Here is a 20,938-nt window from a genome sequence, read left to right on the forward strand (position 1 = left end):
TCAGAATCATTTCCAGAACTACTCCTGAGTGGCCGTTTTTCTCATATTGTTTAGGGTTTCTTCAGTAGACCCTGGCCTGCAAAAAGGCACTTAAGAAAAATGGACCAAGTACTTTCTCATGGTACCTAGATTGTGAAGCTGAACAAAGCTGGGTGGCCACTTTTGCTTCTTAGGTGTAGAATCTCTAGTATTTGGGATACAACAACAGAGGAGTAAGTTCTAAAGTTTCAAAACACCCCAGAACTGTAGTGGGGGCCCTCCTTCTGTCTCATGGAATGCAGCAGATGTGTGCATATGGGCCTCTCCACAGCCCCTCCCCCGATGCCTGGCTTGGGAGGCTCCATACTTGTCCTGGTGAGGATGCCCACCAAACTTTCTTCCCCTCCACGAGGAACTCCCACTTTTTGGCCCCTCTGTTTGTTATCAGAGCAGGAGCTCTGTAGGTTCAAGGCTGAGCAGGTGTCCTGGGATGACAGAGGCTTGGCTGGAGGACCACTGCCCTGCCACTTACCCAGAGCATGACATCAGCTCTCTGAGGGTAATCTCTACCAGGAGTACCACCCTTAGATCTCTGGCTTTCTAAGGTTCTGTGAGGTCAGGTGACAAGAGAACCTGGCCTGGCTGGATATATCTGGATAATTTCATGACTTAGTAGTGCCAATGGGAATGATGGGCACAGGTGGTATAGTGGCTCAGGTTTGGCTCTTTGGAGTGCATTTTAATCAGGTCATATAAAATACACGTAAATGACTATCTAAATAACAAAAAGATCTTTTTCATTCCCTGCAGAACACAGCTTCCTTTCAGTTTAGGACCTTCCCATCCCCAAACCATTAGCATGACCATGGCAAGCAGCTGAGACAATCTGGGTTCTCAATGTTATCCTTGTGTCCCTAGTGGAGACACAGGTACCACAGAGAGATGTGAAGCCCTCCATGTGGTGGTTGGGAGTAAAAGGGGAATGGAAGAGAGCCTTACTAATGGAAAAGATCCAGGAATCCCCCAAACTGTCCAAATATCTGTTCTTTAAATCTTCTGTAGGCCTACCATCTCTTATTTTTCTTTTTGTCCTTCCTCCCCTCATCCCTTCTCTTCTTCCTTCCTGCCCTCCTGCCCTTCTCTTTCCCTTCCTGCCCCCTCCCTCTCTATTCCTTCCCCATTCCCTTTCCCTTTCCCTACCTTTCCCTCCTTCTGTCATTCTTTCCTTCTTTACTTTGGAATATGTTGAGCTGAACAACTGTAATCTCTATTACTACGCCCTCTATATCTTCTTGGGCAGATGCTAAGAGTTTTTTTGTGAGGAAAGTCACAGGACTCTTGAAATTCCTGGGGCCCAGCCTTCCTGTAGGCCTGTCACTTTAATTTTTTCTTTCATTCAGTCATCCATTTATTCAATTATTCAAGTGAGATGTGTTGTGCTGATATGGCACACCAGGCATTTTGCTATACACAGGAGAGTTATAAATGAATAAGATTTGTTCTCTGTTCTTGAGTAGCTCACAGTGCAGTGGGGCAGACAGACAAATAACAAAATAAGCATGATCCAATGTGGCAAGTACAGGAATGCAGGTGTGTGGAATGTCCTTGGGCTCAAGTTCAGACCCTTTGGGTTTCAAACCCCTTTTACTTGGAGTGACTCTGTGGGGGAAAATGTGTCTAGATGTTGCCACATGCTATCATTTGAGGATGAGATCACTGGCCTTTGACAATAGTATCTGTGCAAGTAGCAGGAGCAGAGGTATAAATCCTTGATCTGTCTGTGGGCAGCCAGCCAAGATGGTGATACCAAGAGGAGCTAATGGAACCCAGCTCATGGAACCTCACCAGGAGGAAGAGATAATGCTGTTGCTAAGGAGAAGAGAGCTGAGGGGGACCCTGAGGGATCTAAGACAAAGTGGAGGGGGCAGGATAATGGGCTTGTTCAGAGCATTCATTTTGGACTCAGACATTCCTGAGTTTGAATCCTGCTTCCCCAGGTAGCAGCTGGTATCAAGGTGGGAAGCTATAAAGTGATAAGAGGCACAATGGACCAAAGATGTGAGGGGCAAAATCAGAGAAAGAGACAGGAAGTCTATAGAGGCTGTGAGGACATGGTTTACAAATTAAAGTACATCTGAGGGCCATTGTATCAGTATCTTAGTGACTGTGGTATTTACTCTAAGAGCTCCAGAGTAGTTTCAGGGAGGGAGTGATCCACCTTAGTTGGGGTGGCTAAGGGAAATTAGCTGAGCTGTGAATAATACTTCATGGATGTAGTGATGATGAGGCCAACAGTGGGGAAGCTTGTGAACACTGAATGGGCAGTGATTGAACAGGATTTAGCAAATTGCAATTACATAAGCTATGTAGTATTTTTTCCATTGCATTTTATATAACATTAGAGATGCATTGCCTCTGAAACACCACCTTTAAAAATGGGACAAATCTTTTAAATCAAAAACACGAATTAAAATGATCACAAAATGTTACTGTCTTTTATAAACGTTGATGAAAATTTTGTGTCTGGTTATCCTGTTACAGGGAGGCGTATAAGTGATGAAATCTCCATTAGATGATGAAATAGTTAATATTTGTGGGATGAAAAGTGACCCTGTGAGAAGAGGTTTATTCACAGGGCTGTGGAGAGAGGGAGGGAGATGGGGAAGGGCATGAGGAGAGAGGCCTGCTTGTGCAATAACTTTGTCCCCTTGGTAGTCATGATTTATCCTTTCTTCTTTCTTGGCTGTTGTCTTTTGATGTGGAAGCTAGAAAACACTTGATGCCCTTTCCTTTTGTCACCACCAAAGCCACTGTCTCAGAGCCTCAATATTTTGCCTAGGCTGAGTGTCTTCTCTGGGTTTATTAAATAAACACCAGTGTCCACTCACCTCCAGAGGCTGAGAGGCCAACTGAGGAGAAGGCCACTGTGATTCACTCTGCGATGCATGCAAAATCGGGAACTGTCTCCTTTGGACCAGTTTTGAATGTGAGGTCCCAAAAGACAGAAATTTGTCTCTCTGATTCCTTATTGTGTCCCTAGTGCCTACAATCAAGCACATAATCAATGCTCAATAAAAATGTGTCAAGTGAATAAATGGGTCCAGGGCTCAGGACTTGGTATTGCCCAGATGCAGTTTGGGACTTTGTTTTTCTCTGCTGCTGGAAACTCCCTTATTGGGCTCCATTTTTGAGAGGTCCTTTTATACTTCTTTATAGATTCCCAGGATCTCATTGATTTGCCAGCAATGTTGACTCTGCTCCATTTTCTCTCCACTCAGATTCGATCCAACCATAGCCAGAACCCCGTCATTCTTCAGTGTAGTGGAATGAGGTGTTCTGGGCCTCCAACCTTGTTCTGCAGCCCCTGACAGGAGGCAGGCTCTAATTCTCCAGTTTTGTCCAGCCTGTGTCATGCTGCTTCCAGGTCTGCACAGAGATGCTGGGTCTGCATGTGGGTATCACTCACATTCCAAGTGTGGAGCTTTGCAGGCTGTATCAGCCATGGCACACTCTTCCCTGGGGGCAGGCCTTTCACCCCCTTCACTGTCCCTGGGTGAGAGCTCTCTAGTGATTTCAAACCGAACTTAAACCAATGGCCCAAAGCTGTGCCTCCTGCTTCAATTTCAACAAATTTCTCTCTTTTTTTAAATACCTATTGGTGCGTATCTGAATATCTGATATTAAACTTCTCTCAGGTTCTTTTTTTTTCTTATTTTTGGAGGTGGAGTCTCACTCTGTCACCCAGGCTGGAGTGTAGTGGCACAATCAGCTCACTGCAACCTCTGACTCCTGGTTCAAGCAATTCTGCCTCAGCCTCCTGAGTAGCTGGGATTACAGGTGTCCACCGCCACGCCCAGCTAATTTTTTGTATTTTTAGCAGAGATGGGGTTTCACCATGTTGTCCAGGCTGGTTTTGAACTCCTGACCTCAAGTGACCCACCTGCCTTGGCCTCCCAAAATGCTGGGATTACAGGTGTGAGTCACCATGCTGGGCCTCAGGGTCTTTTTGATCCCTAAATTTTAAGAATTAATTTATAGGATTTGACAAAATCCTTTTTTAGTTCAATGGACTTATAAGGTTATCCATCTTTATTTTTAATGCCCCCCCTCCACCTGCTCTACTTAGCCCTCACATCAACTTCTCTTAGTATTTGTAATTTGACTGTAGCTCTACGTGACACTTCTCTGGTTTTCTGGTAGTCAAAGTGAGATGTTACTCTTAGTTCACATAAAAAAACATTCCTTCAACCCCAGGAGCATCTCAGTCTCACAATTTAGGCCAAAACATGTGACTCCATTGAAGTTGTAACTTCCATGTGTTGATGTCAAGGTCGTGTAGTTACAAAATTAATAATTTGTTGCTTCTTTGGTATATCTATTTATAATTCCAGGAACACTTCTCATTTTCTGCCTTTTTCTTTTTCCTAAAATTCTCATTTTGCACATTCCAATAATCTCATTGAGTAAACTCCCAGCCACATCTCTGCTCCATTATCTCATTAATTTAAGCACCTCTCTCAGCTTTCATCTCTCTCCCTGGATTTTCAGTCACTGAGTTATACTTCTTCCCAAGGCTTACATCTCTTCCCTCCATCTTTTGATTCTGCTTCTCTTCTGCCTATTTTCTGCTTTTTTGCCTTTTGATTTCCGGTTTCTTAGTTAGCACTCCAGAAACAGCTCATCAAAACAAACTAGTGGTCTTCTGTCATACACTGGAAATTCCCCAATTGTATTAATGTCCTCTCAGATTTTACAGGAAAAGTCAATTTTTGCACTGATACCCTCTTTGAGTTTGAGGTTGAGTTTCAGGGCCTCAAACCAGCACAACCTGTGTCGTTCTCTCCCTCCCACTACAACATAAAACTCTCCCCTTCCCTTCCATCAGTGGAGCGGGGTCGGATCCACTATGTTTTCCTGGTGCAGAGATAAGGTTTGGCTCCTGAGCTGGGTTGTACTGACCAAAGAGCTGAGGAGAGAGACTGTGAAATGCCCAGTGGGACGCTGGTGGTAATGAGGACAAGGAACTTTATCTTTTTTACGAGGTTGGGCACAAGCACTGCCAATCCTTGGCAGGTACAGGGGTAGGGGGACATATGACATCCTGTACATAAAACAAGAAGTGCCTTCTGGGGAGAGCTCAGATCCCCCACAGGAAAACCTCCAGCTCAGCCTGTGAAAGTCAGAAGAGGGTATATGGGAAGGCATGCGTCAGATGGGGCTGTTCTTGGCCTCTTGGGATTCTTGTTTCCTCCAAAGATCGCTTGTCTCAGCATCAGGATCTGGATCAGCAGCAGCCCCCAGAACCGTGGCAGCAGCCAGAGCCCCCGCCTTGCTGACCACTGCCCCTGTCACAGGAGTTGGACCTCTGGCGCCGGCATCGGTGGTGGCGCCTGTGGTGGTTCAGGAAGCAGCCGCCCTCGGAGCTAGGGCCACAGCCCCCAGAGCTTGGGGCACAGCCAGAGGAAGCTGGAGGCAGACACTGTACTGGGTTCTTTGGGGGACACTTGGGTGAGGGGCACTTGGGTGGGGGTTGGCACTGCTTCTGGTTCTGCTGGCAGGACATCTTGGCAGGAGTTGAGATGTCCTGGAGAAAACGAAGCCACTTCTTAGTTCAAAATCTACAGTCCAACGTCTCTAAGACCAGCTGCCTCCTGAGGCAAGAGCTGCAAGAGGGTGAGGGAAGCTGATGTGGAGCTGGTGGGATATGCCAGATACTTCTCACATTGCTCTCCACCCGGGACAGATTGCTGTGAGTCTAAGTGGGCACGTGTGTTTCTGTTTCTCCAAAGAACCCCTAGGGAATGCACCCTTTTGGGAAAAAGAATTCTGTAGAATGGATGTTACAGGAAATGTGCCTGCCTGAGTAGAAAGAGGATGGGAGGGAATTGTGAGCTCTGTGGCCTTTGCAGGTCATGGAATTGCTGTCAGTTCCTGCAGGGTCTCCCTCCTGCCCCCTTCCCCCATTGCTGCCCTCTCACAGTCCTGTATCTGGGTCTTTGTTTCAAACCTCTCTGTTTCCATCTCTTCTGCTATGGCCTTAGCTTTCTGTTCTAACATCCCATATCAAGCCCTGTCCCCTGCTGAATACTTACCAGGTGCAGAGAGGCAGGAGAAGGCTGTTCCTGAGGAGACTGTGGAGGAGCCCAGGGCAGGAGTGCTTTTATCCTGTGCAGGGTGTGTGATGCACAGGCTGGGCATGCTGCTGCTTTCACAACCAGGGGAGGTGACAGCCAGGCACACCCTTGAGACTATCCATTCATCACCTTCCTGTGTACTCACCAAGATGCCTGACAAGAGGGAACCAGGAAGGTCTGACGCCTGTTTACCTTCACCTCATTCAGGCCTGCTGGGGGTTGCAATCCTACCTTCCTTGAAGCAATTGTTTTTATCACCACTCATTAGTAGTCACTCCTTATTCCACATTGCCCCTCTGGCAACTAGTAATCAATTTTTTGCCTGTATGGACTTGCCTATTCTGGACACTTCATATAAATAGAATCATATAATATATGGCATTTTGCATTAGCTTCTTTCACTTAATATATTGTTTAAGATTTATCCATGCTGTAGCATGTGTCAGAACTCCATTCTTCTTTATGGTTGAGTAATATTTCACTTTATGAATTTAGCACGTTTTATTTAACCATTCATCAAGTGATGGACATTTGAGTTAGCTCCAATTTTTGGTTATTGTGAATAATGCAGCTACAAACTTAATCTTTATTATTTCCTTCCTCCTGCTTTATGTTTAGTTTCTTCTTTTTTTCAGTGTTTTAAGGCAGAAGGTTAGGTAATTGATTTGAGATTTTTCTTCTTCCTTAATGTAGGCATTTGCAGCCATGTATTTCCCTGTAAGCATTTCCTTTGCTGTATCCCATAATTTTTGGTATGTTGTATTTTTATTTTCATTCATCTCAAAGTATTTTCTAATTCTCCTTGTGATTTCTTTCTGAACTCATTGGTTGCTTAAGACATTTCTGAATTTTCCAGTTTTCCTTCTGTTATTGATTTCTAGTTTCATTCTCCTGTGGTTACGGATGATACTTTGTATGATTTCAGTGTTTTAAAATTTAATGATACTTCTTTTATGACCCAACAAATGGTCTACCCTGCAGAATGTTCCATGTGCAATTGAGAAAAATGTGTATTCTGCTATTGTGGTTGGAGTGTTCAACAAGATGTCTGTTAGATTTAATTGGTTTATAGTGTTGTTAAAGTCTTCAGTTTGTTGATTTTCTTCCTAGTTGTTCTTCCATTAATGAAAGTGGAGTATGAAAGCTTCAAGTATTATTGTTAAATTGTTTATGAGTTGTCTGTTTCTCCCTTCAATTTTGTTAGTCTTTGTTACATGTAATATGGGACTCCATTGTTAGGTGCATATATATGTATAATAATTATTTCTTTAATAGATATGGATCCTTTTGTCATTATAAAATGTCCTCTTTGTCTCTGCCATTAATTTCGTCTTAAAGTCTATTTCGTCCAGTATTGTATAGCCACTCCAGATCTCTTGATTACCATTGCATGGTGTATGTTTTTCTACCTTTTACTTTGAATCTATTTTGTCTTTGAGCCTAAAATGTGTGTCTTATAGATAGCATATAGTTAGTTCATGCTATTTTATCCATTTTGCCAGTCTTAGCCTTTTGATTGGGGTATTTAATCTATTCACAATTAATGTAATTACTATTAAGGTAGAATTTATGTCTACCATTTACTATTTATTTCCTATATATTTCATAACTTTCTTTGCCCCTCTTTTTCTTCACTATGGCTTTGTTTTTTATTGAACAGGCATTTTCTAGTATACCCTTTTAATTTCAATGTTATATATTTTAGTATATTTTTTGAGTTATTTTCTTAGTGGTTTCCTTGGGAGTTCTTATTAACATCTTAACTTACAGTGATTATAACTCAGATCAATACCAACTTAATTTTGATAGCACGCAAAGCTTTGCTCCTGTGTAGGTTTGTTCCCTCCCCCTTCTGTATACTGTTATTGTCATATAAATCATATCTTTACATTAGAAGGCCATCAATGCAGTTCTATAAGTATTTCTTTATGCAGTTGTCTTTCAGATCAAATTGGAGAAAAAAGACTTAAAAGCACAAAATGCATTTATACTGTCTTTTATATTTACCATGTAGTTAACTTTACAAATGCTCTTCGTTTCTTCATAAAAATTTCAAATACTCTCTAGTGTTATTTCATTTCAGACTGAATTAATCCTTTTAGTATTTTTTGTAGAGTAGGGTTTCTGGAAACAAATTTTCTCAATTTTTGTTTATCTGGGAATGTCTTAATTTTTGGAGAATAGTTTTGCTGGATATAGAACTCTTGGTTTACTTTTTTTTTCTTTAGCACTTTGAATGTGTTATCCAACTGGCTTCTGTCCTCCATGGTTTCTGATGAGAAACCAGCTGTTAATGTTATTATTAATTTTTTTTGTATATGATGGGTCTTTTCTCTTTTGCTGTTTTAAAAATTCTCTCTTTGTCTTTTGACATTTGTACTATGGTGTGTTTAGGTGTGGAGAGGTTTGACTATACCCTGCTAGGAGTTTGTTGATCTTCTTAGATGTGTAGATTAATATTTTTCATCAAATTTGATAAGTAATTAACTGTTATTCCTTTGAATATTCTTCCTGTCTTTTTATTTCTCTCATCTCCTCCTGGGATTCTTATTATAAACATGTTGGTGGGCTTGATGGTTACTCACAGGCCTCTGAAGGCTCTGTTAATTTTTATTCAATCTTATTTCTTTCTGTTCCTCGGGTTGGATAATCACAATTGACCTATCTTCAAGTTCACTGATTTGTTCTTCTAGTTCAAACCTGCTGTTGAGCCCTTCTAGTCAATTTTAAATTTCAGTTATTATATTTGTCAAGCCTCAAATTTCTATTTGGTTGTTTTAAGAAATTCTTTTTAATTCTTTGTTGTTATTCTCTATTTGGCAAGACAACATTCTTATGTTTTCTTTTAATTCTTAAGACGTAGTTTATTTTAGTACTTTAAGCACATTTAAAATAGTTGATTTTTATCTTTGTCTAGTAAAACCAATGTTTAAACTTCTTCAGGGACAGTCTCTCTTGACTACCTCCCTGGACTTTGCCCCTTGTGTAGGTCATACTTTCTTGTTTATTTGTAGCTTTCTTTCTTTTTTGGTTAATAATTGGACATTTAAAATGATATAAAATCCTGGAAATCAAATTTCCCAACCCTCTCTGGGGTTTGTTGCTGTTTGTTTTCACTGTCCATTTGCTTCATGACTTTCCTGAACCAATTTTGTAAAATCTGTATTCTTTATTGTGTGTAGTCATTTAACTCTGTACTCAGTTAGCTTAGTAGACAGAGATTTCCTTAAATGCCTTGAGTTAATGTCTTTCAACCTTTGCTGAGGACCTCTGTGTGTATGTTGGGGCATGTTTTCAAGACTTCAGAAGACAGTTTACAAATCTGTCTTAGGTTTCATTTCCTGCTTGGATGGAACTTCAAGATCAGTCAAAGTTGAGATATTAGGGTCTTCCCAGGTCTTTTCTGTACATGCACACACCCTGTAAGTCCACATAGTCTCCTAGATTTCCAGAAATGTGTCATAGATTTTTAAAACTCTCTATGAGAATCTCATTCCTCAGATTTTCCATCTAAGTTTTTGGTCAACTTCTGATTTGCCCAACTATTATCACCATCACAGGCAGCTGTGATGCTAAACATTTTTTACTGATTGTTTTTGGCAAACACCCTGGGGTAAAAGCTGTTTTCAGTGAGAGAGTTCTGAGTCAACTGGAATGAAAACAAGCTTGGCTAGTTGGGATTTCTAGGGGAAATGGGAATGGGATCTTCATTATGTGCCATATAGTCAGATAATGACATTTCTCTAGGGATGGGGTTTTTGGATAGTTTCAGATATGTTCTGTTACCTCCATGTGCTACTAGCATTTTAGATTTCAAGACTATTATGGCACTGGGAACAGGGAGATGATAATAGGGCAAGTTAAAATGTCACAAAGCTCACTGCTCTTACCCATATTCAACTGCTTTTCTTAAGTGAACACTCTAATATTTTTGCAAGCCTTTGGTAAATCTCCAGAGTTTTGCAAAAGTTGATTTTCACAATTTTTCATTTTCAAGGTGTTTTTAATGGAAGAGCAGATTTTTGGAGATCCTTGCTCAATCATTCCCAACCTTGTCTTCTTAAGTGAAAACATGAGTCCCTAGTTTTTCATCTGGGTCACAAACTTCACATCCAATAAGCATTATTATTTTGAGATATACAGCTCTTCTCATCACCACAGAGATGCTTCCATATAATATCCAGGTCATATATGAGAAAGTAAGATTAAGCTTTTCCTGTTTTATTGAGATTTGACAAAAATAACTGCCAACTTGTAAACAATAGGCACAAATAACTCTCCACCTTATAAAGAGGTTGGAAGGAGCCCTGAGATGCTATCACTCTTCTCTTGTTATAGTAATGAGAAGTTTTCAAAACTGGATAGAATGCTGTGGATTTTCCCCTTACATTTCACATGGGGAAGCAACAGGTTATTACTCTTACCCTCCACTAGAGGAAAAGTCATAGAAATTTCAAGGGGACAAATTGTAGAACTTATCAATGCCTAAAAAACAGAAAGACTTGGCCAGTAGCGGTGGCTCATGCTTGTAATCTCAACACTTTGGGAGGTGAAGGTGGGTGGATCACTTGAGGTCAGGAGTTCAAGACCAGCCTTGCCAACGTGGTGAAACCCCATCTATACTAAAAATACAAAAATAGCTGGGTGTGTTGGCTGGTGCCTGTAATCCCAACTACCCAGGAGGCTGAGGCAGGAGAATCGCTTGAACCAGGGAGACGGAGTTTGCAGTGAGCTGAGATTGTGCCACTGCACTCCAGCCTGGGCGGCAGAGCAAGATTCCATCTCAAAACAAAACAAAACAAAACAATAAAACACACACACACACACACACACACACGCAAAACCCAGGAAGACTAAAATTTCAGGTCTCAGTGTCATCATTGGACTTGCTGAACAGTTCTCTGGCTATTCTGGAGAGTGAAAAATAATTGGAAAGGGAAAATGGAAAGGAGAATGGGGAAAAGAGAAGCAGCCAGTCCCTTACTGCTTGACATGGCCAGAGTTCATGAGTTTCCCTGAGCCAGTGGACAGTTTGGAGGGCAGCTAGGCATAGCTGTACTGCCACAGTCCTGCTGGGAATGTGGCTATCAAGGCAAGAGGCCTGTACCAATGGGGCTAAGAGTGCAGGGGAGTGTCAAAAGAGGCCAAATTTTTCACATCAGGTCACTGTGCTAAAGGTTCCTTAAAGAAATCAGTCATTTATCTGGTAAGAGAGCCCTCATGGGTCAGCACAGAGAGGATGCAGCCACTGAGAGACACTAGCAGTACCAGCCAAATATGAGATATTTGCTTTGTCCCCCCTTTTCTCATTCCGGCCTCAAAACAGTGCAGAATAAAGGGAACCCGCAGGGGAGAGGAGGAGGTGGACAATAAATGATGGAACTAACCATGTCTCTTTTCCACACACTAGATGCCTGTTTTCCACACAGTCCTTTAGGAGACAGTTGGGCTGTGCTGGGTTGGAGAGGGAGGAGTTAATATTCTTATTCTGAGTTATATCCAACTGGACAGGATAGGATGCTTCCTGAATACCTGAAAAATGATTAGAAAGGCCTGAAACACACTTGAGATATTATCAAAGTAGAGTCAGTATAACATAGTAGAAGACAGAGACTAGAGGAAAAATAAGTCACTATTTGTATCTGACACTGAGTTCAGACTACTTAATAAACTTCAGAGGCCCTTGGAAGATTTTCCTGCCAAGGATCTCTCTTGGTTCTTCCTCTCTTTCCAATATCAGTCAATAAATAAATCAATACTCAATTTCATAAATTGCATAATATTTTTTAAACTGCATTTAGGAAAACATTCCTTCTTGGAGCTAATTATCACTGTAAAATCAGGGCTTTGTGGTGAAAAATGTGAAAGACTTCAGATGTCAACAATGAAAAGTTTTGTCTCCAAACTCCATGTCACCCTCAAAACCTTCAGTTTCTGTGAGCTATCTTGGGTGGTCTGTGACATGATCTTTCTTTACTCTTGAGCTGGGCTCCAATTTTCAGTACAGGTCATGGTGGGCCTGGAGTGCTGAGGAATGGGTCAGACCTCCAATCATCCAGGGGGCTTTGAGTTGCTAAGAGTGGTGTAGGGAAGGCAGATAAAGTTGAAGAAAGTTTTGTTATTTCAGAAAGTCACATATAGAAAGAGGAGATGGGGGTCGGGGAGGTAGGGAGAAGATGGATGCCAGGAGATCAGGGAGGGTGGAATTTCTGGAGAGAAGAGAATCCTCTACCTCAGAAGTTCTCAGCTTTGGCTGCACATTGGCATCATCTTGGAGGGTTTTTTAAAAATACAAAACTCTGAGTTTCATCCCTCAAGACGCTGGTTGGCTTGGGCTAGGCATCAGGGTTTTAGTATCTCCCAGGTGATTCTGATGCACAGTCAGGTTTGAGAGGATCAGATCACATGAGGTGGAAGAGAAAGAATTGGAGGTTGGAGAATGAGATCACCTGTGGGCTTACGTGCATACGTACCTATTGTCCACAAAACAAACAAAAAATTCTTTGGCTACAGTACTAGTCTCTGGCTGGTCAGGAACTGGCTGATTTCTCTAGTCTCAACTTCTACTATCCTCTTCTACTTCTTTACCTGTCTTTGTCACACCAAGGGGTCTGAGGCTTCTCCCTGGGCCTGAGCTGGGGGGCACCTTAGTGACTGAAGCTTGGTGCTCAGGGAGTGTCTGTCTGAACACCTTGAGGAAAGAGGCAGATGTCTCAGGAAGTTCTAGTTCATAGACTCTCTGGACAGGATCTTGTTACCAGGTTCTATGTTGCTTGCTTATAGGCTGCAGGGTCCTGGTAGTAGGCGGGGGGGCGGGAGGTGTGGGGGAGGAAAGAGTAAGTTTTTCTAAGAGAAGGATCTGGGATGCCCCAAGACTGTCCGGGTACCTATTTCTTAAGTTTGTTTTTGGTGTGTTTTCTTCTCTTTCTCCCATCCTCTTTTGCTCTCCCCCTCTCTTTACATTCCTTCTTTACTTTCTTCTATTCTCTAAAAAATGAACAGATATTACACAGTGGGCATGGTGATAGATGTGCAATCCATTGGATGGTGGACACACCTAATTATAAATAAATGAGATGTGGTTCTGGTTGAGTAGCTCACCTTGTAGCAGGGCAGACAGACAGGTGATCAAATGACTATGACCCAAGATGATGAAAGCTACATAAAACATGTGTTGAGTCCTGAGGCTTATGCAAGAGCTTTTGGCTATCAGTCTCCTGTCTCCTCAGTGTGCCCAGAGGTTGTCATTTGGTATCACTTGAGAGTAGTTGAGGTGAGGTCAGCAGCCTATAGGAGCTGATGATGGGCATGGAGCAGGAACAAAGGGATAAGGAGTCTGACCTCCCCTTGCAGTTTATGGTCAGAGAGACACAGAGAAACTCATGAAACCTAGGAGGCAGAGGTGTCCCTGCAGAGAGAAGGGGGATGGACAAAATTCCTGTCTGAGGACAGAATGTGGTGGATAGAAGCGGCCAGAATAATAGGTTCATTAAGAACATAGGTTGGGGAGTCAGATATTTCAGGCTTTGTTTTCTTATTTCTTCAGGTGATAGTTGTCATAAGGTAAAGGTGTTTGAAGAGAGAAAAAACTACAATGGAATGAAAGCACAGTGGACCACGGATGTTAGAGCTGCAACCAGAGATGGAGATAAGAAACTAACCTACATCTGATGAACGATGTGTCAGTAAGCCACTCACTTTGTAAGTTTCTGAGTTGCAGACATGGGTCAGAGAAGAAGGTGATTCACCCAGGCTGGGATATTCAGGGAGAATTTATCTGAAAGGTAATTATAATTAATTGAAGGTGAATAATTATAGATACATTTTGTAGTGTTATTATGTATACCTGATGTAATGCAATTGATGTGTGACTAATGCCTGTAAAAACTGCATTTGAATCAGCTCTGTAGAATTTTCCTATTGCATTTTATTATAACAATAAAGACGCATTTTCTTCTGAAATATAAGCATACTCAAGAATAAGACAAATCTTTTATATCACACAGGTAATTAACAATATGTATTTTTTTCAGACAAATACACCAGTGGTTCAGAATAGAAAGCCAAAAAATAAGGCCACACACCTACAACCATCTGGTATTCAACAAAGCTGACAAAAACAAGCAATGGAGAAAAGACTCCTAGTCAATACATGGTGCTAGGATAACTGGTCAGCCATATGCAGAAGATTGAAACTAGACTCCTTCCTTACACCATATACAAAAATCAACTTAAGATGGATCAAAGACTTAAATGTAAAACCCAAAATTATAAAAACCCTGGAAGACGACTGAGGCAATACCATTCCAGACATAGAAATGGACAAAGATTTTATGACAAAGACACCAAAATCAATTGCAAAAATGACAAATGGGATCTAATTAAACTAAAGAGCTTCTGCACAGCAAAATAAACTATCAATACAGTAAACAGACAACCTACAGGATGGGAGAAAATCTTTGCAAACTATGCATCTGACAAAAATCTAATAATATCCAGCATCTATAAGGAACTTAAGCAAATCTACAAGAAAAAAAACAAACAAACAACCCAATTAAAAAGCAAGCAAAGGACATGAACAGACACTTTTCAAAAGAAGAGGTGCATGCAGTCAATAAGCATATTTTTAAAAAGCCCAACATCCCACTGATCATTAGAGAAATTCATATCAAAACCGCAGTAAGGTATCATCTCAAACCAGTCAGAATGGCTGTCATTAAAAAGTCAAAAAATAGCAGGTGTTGTAAGGTTGCAGAGGAAAAGGAATGCTTATACATTGTTGACGTGAGTGTAAATTAGTTCAACTGCTGTTGGAGACAGTGTGGCTATTCCTAAAAGACCTAAGGACCAAAATACCATTCAACACAGCAATCCGTTACTGGGTATATACCCAAAATAATATAAATCGTTCTCTCGTAAAGACACATGCACACATATGTTTATTGCAGCACTACTCACAATAGCAAAAACATGGAATCAACCTAAATGCTCATCAAAGAGAGACTGGATAAAGAAAATGTGATACAGGTATACCATAGAATACTATGCAGCCATAAAAAAGAGTGAGATCATGTCCTTTGCAGGAACATAAATGGAGCTGGAGGCCATTATCTTTAGCAAAGTAAGACAAGAAAAGAAAACCAAACACTGCATGTTGTCATTTGTAAGTGGCAGGTAAATAATGAGAACACATGGACACATAGAGAGGACAACAGACACAGGGACGTACCAGAGGGTGGGGAATAGAAGGAGTGAGAGGACCAGGGAAAATGACTAATGGGTACTAGGCTTAATACCTGGGTGACAAAATAATCTGTACAACAAATCCCCATGACATAAGTTTACCTGTATAACAAACCCGCACATGTACCCCTGAACTTCAAATAAAAGTTAAATAAAAATGCACGGCTTTTGAGAAAACATTATTAGTACAGTAAATGTGTCTGTTTATCCTACTACAGGAAAGCCTATAGTTGTGGCTACCCACTTTGAGATAAGGTCTAACAGGAGGAAAATGAGAGTACCTTCATACTACTGGTGCAAACATTATTTTTTCCACTGGCAGTGGTCTGAGAACATAGGCCTTCTAGTGCACTAATATTCTTCTCATCACCACTAGCAACTCATCCCTTATTCTTACTTGATTGCTGTCTGTGGTATAAAAGTAAGGTGTTACTACATGAGCTTTTTGCAGTAGCAAAGCCAGTATATTTAATCATCAATGTTGTTCTCAGGCTAGTGTCTTTCATTGTGTTTATCAAAGCTACACTGCTGCCTCCTCAATCCAGAGATATGGGAAACCAACTGGATAGAGGGGTGTTGATACCTTACTTTGCTGTTTTACAAGCAAATCAGAGGACTGTCTTGAATGGACCCACTAGATTGGAAGTTCCCTGAGAACATCTTATTTTTTCATTTTCTCTAATGTATCTCCAGTATCTATAGAGGTGTCAGTATATAATAGATGTTTAATAAATAGTTTTTAAATAATGAATGATTAATTATTAATTATTGAATCCTAGGCTGGGTTGAGGTGGTCTTTATTAGTGACCTGTTGGGGTCCACTTTTAGGGGCAGCATCATGAACTGCATAACATCTATCTTTGACTGTCTTGGTATTGCAGGTTCAAACTTCATAAGTTGGTCCAACTCCTATTTCTTCTCCCTCCTGAGTGGACTCACAGTGGGTGTAAGAATTGGCGGACAATTTGACATCAAGAGCTTGACCTTGGTAGGTGCTTGGAGCCTCCAGTCCTCTTTCCATAGACTTTGATGGCAGGCTTTATTTCTTCAAAGGCTGGATCTTTTCTCTTTCAGGTGATATGCAGTTAGGAATTTGTCTCATGAATTCTAGTCCTGCTCTAAACAGTGGTCCTCAGTTTCTGGACTAGTGGAGTGGTTCTGGCTAGATCTGTGGGCTCCTTGGTGTGGGGTCCATGTGGCAAGGCCTCACACACAGGGTAGCAACTCCAACCTCCCAACCAACCTTATGCATTCTCAATATTTTTGAGACATATTTGAATCATGACTTGACACTGTTTCTGTCCCATGGTGGAGCGCTACCCAAGAATGTCTCCAGTTTTGAGTAACAAGCAGCTTGTGGTGATGAATCAAACAGGACGGCTGTGGTTCCTACTTTCAGCAACTGTGCTGAGCTGGAGAGTAATCAGAACTGGTTAGAGTATTTCTCACATCAGACTCCTTGAGAGCCCTTTTCTTTACTAAATTTCAGAGATTTTAGAAATCCTGAGTTCTTAGACTTTGCAGTAAAAATAAATAGGCAGTTTGACGTTTTCAAAAGGATATTTTTGATTCAATAAACTCCTAATGTTTTATCTATATTTATTTATTTTTGCTTGTTGTACCCAGCTCCACACAGAGTTCTCCCACATTTTCAATTTGTAATTTAATTCATGTCCTGTGGTGTTCCTTTGGCTTATTCTAAGAACTATATGAATGGCTTTGATGAACTGTTTCTCTAAGCTAGTATTTCAACAATCTGACAGACAGAGAGACTCATCTCTAAGGAGGTAATTCAGCCTAGAGGGCGGTTAAGTATCACACATCCAAAACATGACAGAGAAAAATTTTTAAAAAGTTTTATTGAAGTTATGAGTCACATAGTTGGGCTCTTAGCTCTGCAGATTTAAAAAAATCAAACAAAAATAAAAACAAAACACGAAGTTAAACAGGACAAAATAAATGTAAAGTAGAAAATACTAATTGTTTCTAAAGATCTCTTGAAAAGTCTCCAGGGAGGGACAAGTGGCATCAGCGAGGATCACGGACTTATTGGCTGGGTCCTGTGCAGAACTGTTGGACCCACAATTTCCCTGTTTGTAAAATATGGTTATTAAGAGCACCTGGCTTATCGAGTTAGAAAATTAAATGAGTTCATAGTAGTCACTTAGGGTTTTCTAGCACCTAATAAGCAAATAAGTTTTTGATCTTACAATTATTCTAATTTATAAGCCTAGCAATACTTCTCATTTTCTCTCTTCCTTTATCTTAATGGTCTCAGTCCACACCTTCCACATTACTACATTCCCTAAGCTCTCAGCTCCATTTCTCCCCTGACCCAGGACTTCTTAAGCTTTAATTAATTCTACTCCCTCCACCTTCTCTCTCTGAAGATTTAATTGTGTATGTGGAGTTATCTGTTTTTCCTGAGACCAGCTTTTTCTTTTTTCTTTTCTTTTCTTTCTTTTCTTTTTGAAATGGAGTTTCACTCTTGTTGCCCAGGCTGGAGTGCAGTGGTACAACAGGCTCACTGCAACCTCTGCCTCCCAGGTTCAAGCAATTCTCCTGCCTCAGCCTCCTGAGTAGCTGGGATTACAGGCATCTGCCACTATGCCAAGCTATTTTTTTTTTTTGTATTTTTAGTAGAGACTAACCATATAACATGTGGTTTCATCATGTTGGTCAGGCAGTCTCAAACTCCTGACCTCAGGTAATCCACTTGCCTCAGCCTCCCAAAGTGCTAGGATTACAGACAGCTGAGGCCATGTTTTTCTTTACCCATCTTTTAATTGTAGTCTAAAGGTTTTCAGCCTTGCAATTATTGGACTTCTTGGGGCAGATAATTCTCCACTGTGGGGCTGTTCTATGCTTAGTAGGAGGCTTAGCTGCATCCCTGGCCTCTACCCACTAGATGCCAGAAATTCTCTTTCTACCTCTAAGTTTTGACAACAAAAAATGTCCCTTGGAGAGTCAAATTTACCCCTTTAGAAGAAATGCTAATTCTGCCTATTTTTTTGATAATTGCCTGCTACATCTTCACTGTTTTGTAATAGAGATGTCAGAAACATCTAGTAGCTAGCTCCTCCTACGACTGGGGAGTCCATTATGAGAGGACAATCACATTTCAGTCATTCTTTTCTGACAGTTAGAGGCCTCACTACAACCCCTCTCATCACATCCTGTCCCCCACTGCCGCACAATTCCAGCAGAAAAGGACTCGACAGATTCCTGAATTTTGCAGACCTAGAGCTAGAATTCTGCATCTTCCCTGTGGTGGTGCTGGATGTCAGGGGCAGACAGGAGGGCACACTTCCAGCCCCACCTAGGGAGAGACAGAGTGAAATGCCAAGGGAGACACCAGTGGTAATGAGGACAAGGAGCTTTATTTTTTGATGAGGTCAGGCACAAGCACTGCCAATCCTTCACAGGTACAGGGGTAAGGGAACATGTGACATCCTGGACATCAGACAGGAAGTGCCTTCTGGGGAGAGCTCAGACCTTCCACAGGAAAACCCCTAGCTCAGCCTGTGAAAGCCAGAAGAGGGTATCTGGGAACTCATGCATCAAGATGGGGTTTTCCTGGGCCCTTGGGATTCTTGTTTCCTCCAAAATCGCTTGTCTCAGCATCAGGATCCAGGTCAGCAGCAGCCTCCAGAGCCATGGCCGCAGCCAGAGCCCCCGCCTTGCTGACCACTGCCCCTGTCACAGGAGTTGGGCCTCTGGCGCCGGCATCGGTGGTGGCGCCTGTGGTGGTTCAGGAAGCAGCCGCCCTCGGAGCTAGGGCCACAGCCCCCAGAGCTTGGGGCACAGCCAGAGGAAGCTGGAGGCAGACACTGTACTGGGCTCTTTGGGGGACACTTGGGTGAGGGACACTTGGGTGGGGGTTGGCACTGCTGCTGGTTCTGCTGGCAGGACATCTTGGCAGGAGTTGAGTTGTCCTGGACAAAACAAAGCCATTTGTTAGTCCAAAATCTACAGTCCAATGTCTCTAAGACCAGCGGCCTCCTGAGGCAAGAGCTGCAGGAAGGTGAGGGAAGCTGATGTGGAGTTGGTGGGACATGCCAGATGCCTCTCACTTTGTTCTCCACCAGGGACAGATTGCTGTGAGTCTAAGTGGGCATCCATGTTTCTGTTTCTCCAAAGAGCCTCTAGGAATGTACCCTTTTGACAAAAGGCATTCTGGAGAATGGAGATCATAGGAAACATGTGCCAGCCTGAGTAGAAAGAGGATGGGAAGGAATCATAAGCTTCTGTGGCCTTTGCAGGTCATGGAATTGCTGTCAGTTCCTGCAGGGTCTCCCTCCTGGCCCCAGTTCCCACATTGGTACCCTCTCTGCCATCCTCTCTCCGGGCTTTTGTTTCAGATCTCTCCATTTCCCTCTCCTGCTATGACCTTAGTTTTCTGTTCCAACATCCCAAGTTGAGTCCCATCCCCTGCTGGACACTCACCAGGTGCAGAGGAGGCAGGAGAAGGCTGTTCCTGAGGAGACGGTGGATGAGGAGCCCAGGGCAGGAGTGCTTTTATCTTGTGCACGGTGTGTGATGCACAGCCTGGGCATGCTGCTGCTTTCACAACCAGGGGAGGTGTCAACAAGGCACACGCCCAAGACTAGGTTTGTAGCTTTGGCACTTCCATAATATCCAACCAATGACATTGAACCTGGAAGCAGGATCACTGTCCACATACCTCTCACCTGGGAGGCTACCACTGCTTCTTTTCTTCCTCCCTTCTTCCTTGTTTCAACTCACGTGCTGTGGAGCACAGTCTGTCCTTTACAATTTCCTGGGAATTAGTATGACATAATTCTTTCTTGAGTCATGACTGGAGAAATAATAGTCATTTCAACAAATAGAGATGAAATAATTGGACGTCCATATGTAAAAGAAATCATACCTAATGCTAGATATAAAAATTAATAGATCATAATTTAAAAAATTAAACTATGAAACTTCTGCAATAAAACATAATAAATCTTTGTGACTTTGGGTTATGCAAAATTTTTCAGATATGCCAAAAAGGTACAATTCAAAAAAGAAATATAGGACTTCATCAAAATTAAAAACTTCTGCTTTTCAAAAGGCACTGCTAGGCAAATGCAAAGAAAATTCACAGACTTGGAGACAATATTGTAAAACACAAATCTTACCAAGGACTTGGTTCAAGAATTTTTTTTTTATTTTTATTTTTTGAGACGGAGTCTTGCTCTGTCGTCCAGACTGAAGTGCAGTGGCGCGATCTTGGCTCACTGCAAGCTCTGCCTCCCGGGTTCTCGCCATTCTCCCTGCTCAGCCTCCCAAGCAGCTGGGTCTACAGGCGCCTGCCACCACACCCAGCTAATTTTTTTGTATTTTTAGTAGAGATGGGGTTTCACTGTGTTAGCCAGGATGGTCTCTATCTCCTGACCTGTGATCCACCCGCCTCGGCCTCCCAAAGTGGTGGGATTACAGAGCCACTGTGCCCGGCCAATGTTTTTTAAATTCTCAAAAATAGGTAATAACACAGAAAATATGGGCAAAGTATTTGAAGAGTCATTTTAACAAAGAAGATATATGGGTGGCAGTTAAGCACATGAAAAGATACTCAA

At 41.9% G+C, this 20,938-nt stretch overlaps 2 protein-coding genes across 2 annotated transcripts; both read right to left on the reverse strand.

Moving 5' to 3' along the window:
* Positions 1-4,987: 4,987 nt before the first annotated feature.
* On the reverse strand, positions 4,988-6,114 carry LCE3E (late cornified envelope 3E). The gene is made up of 2 exons (NM_178435.4): positions 6,072-6,114; positions 4,988-5,563 (listed from the first exon to the last, which is right to left on the reverse strand). The coding sequence occupies exon 2, from the start codon at positions 5,540-5,542 to the stop codon at positions 5,264-5,266; it is 279 nt and encodes a 92-aa protein (NP_848522.1). The 5' UTR covers positions 5,543-5,563; positions 6,072-6,114; the 3' UTR covers positions 4,988-5,263.
* Positions 6,115-18,714: 12,600 nt separating this feature from the next.
* Positions 18,715-19,850, reverse strand: LCE3D (late cornified envelope 3D). The gene is made up of 2 exons (NM_032563.2): positions 19,803-19,850; positions 18,715-19,291 (listed from the first exon to the last, which is right to left on the reverse strand). Exon 2 carries the CDS (start codon positions 19,268-19,270, stop codon positions 18,992-18,994), a length of 279 nt encoding a protein of 92 aa, NP_115952.1. The 5' UTR covers positions 19,271-19,291; positions 19,803-19,850; the 3' UTR covers positions 18,715-18,991.
* Positions 19,851-20,938: the final 1,088 nt, after the last annotated feature.

Source organism: Homo sapiens, chromosome 1, assembly GCF_000001405.40.
Source record: "Homo sapiens chromosome 1, GRCh38.p14 Primary Assembly".
NCBI lineage: Eukaryota > Metazoa > Chordata > Mammalia > Primates > Hominidae > Homo > Homo sapiens.

Excerpts from the sequence above, each read along its gene's own strand:
- LCE3E (NM_178435.4), bottom strand. The coding sequence starts at position 5,542 with ATGTCCTGCCAGCAGAACCAGAAGCAGTGCCAACCCCCACCCAAGTGC.
- LCE3D (NM_032563.2), bottom strand. The coding sequence starts at position 19,270 with ATGTCCTGCCAGCAGAACCAGCAGCAGTGCCAACCCCCACCCAAGTGT.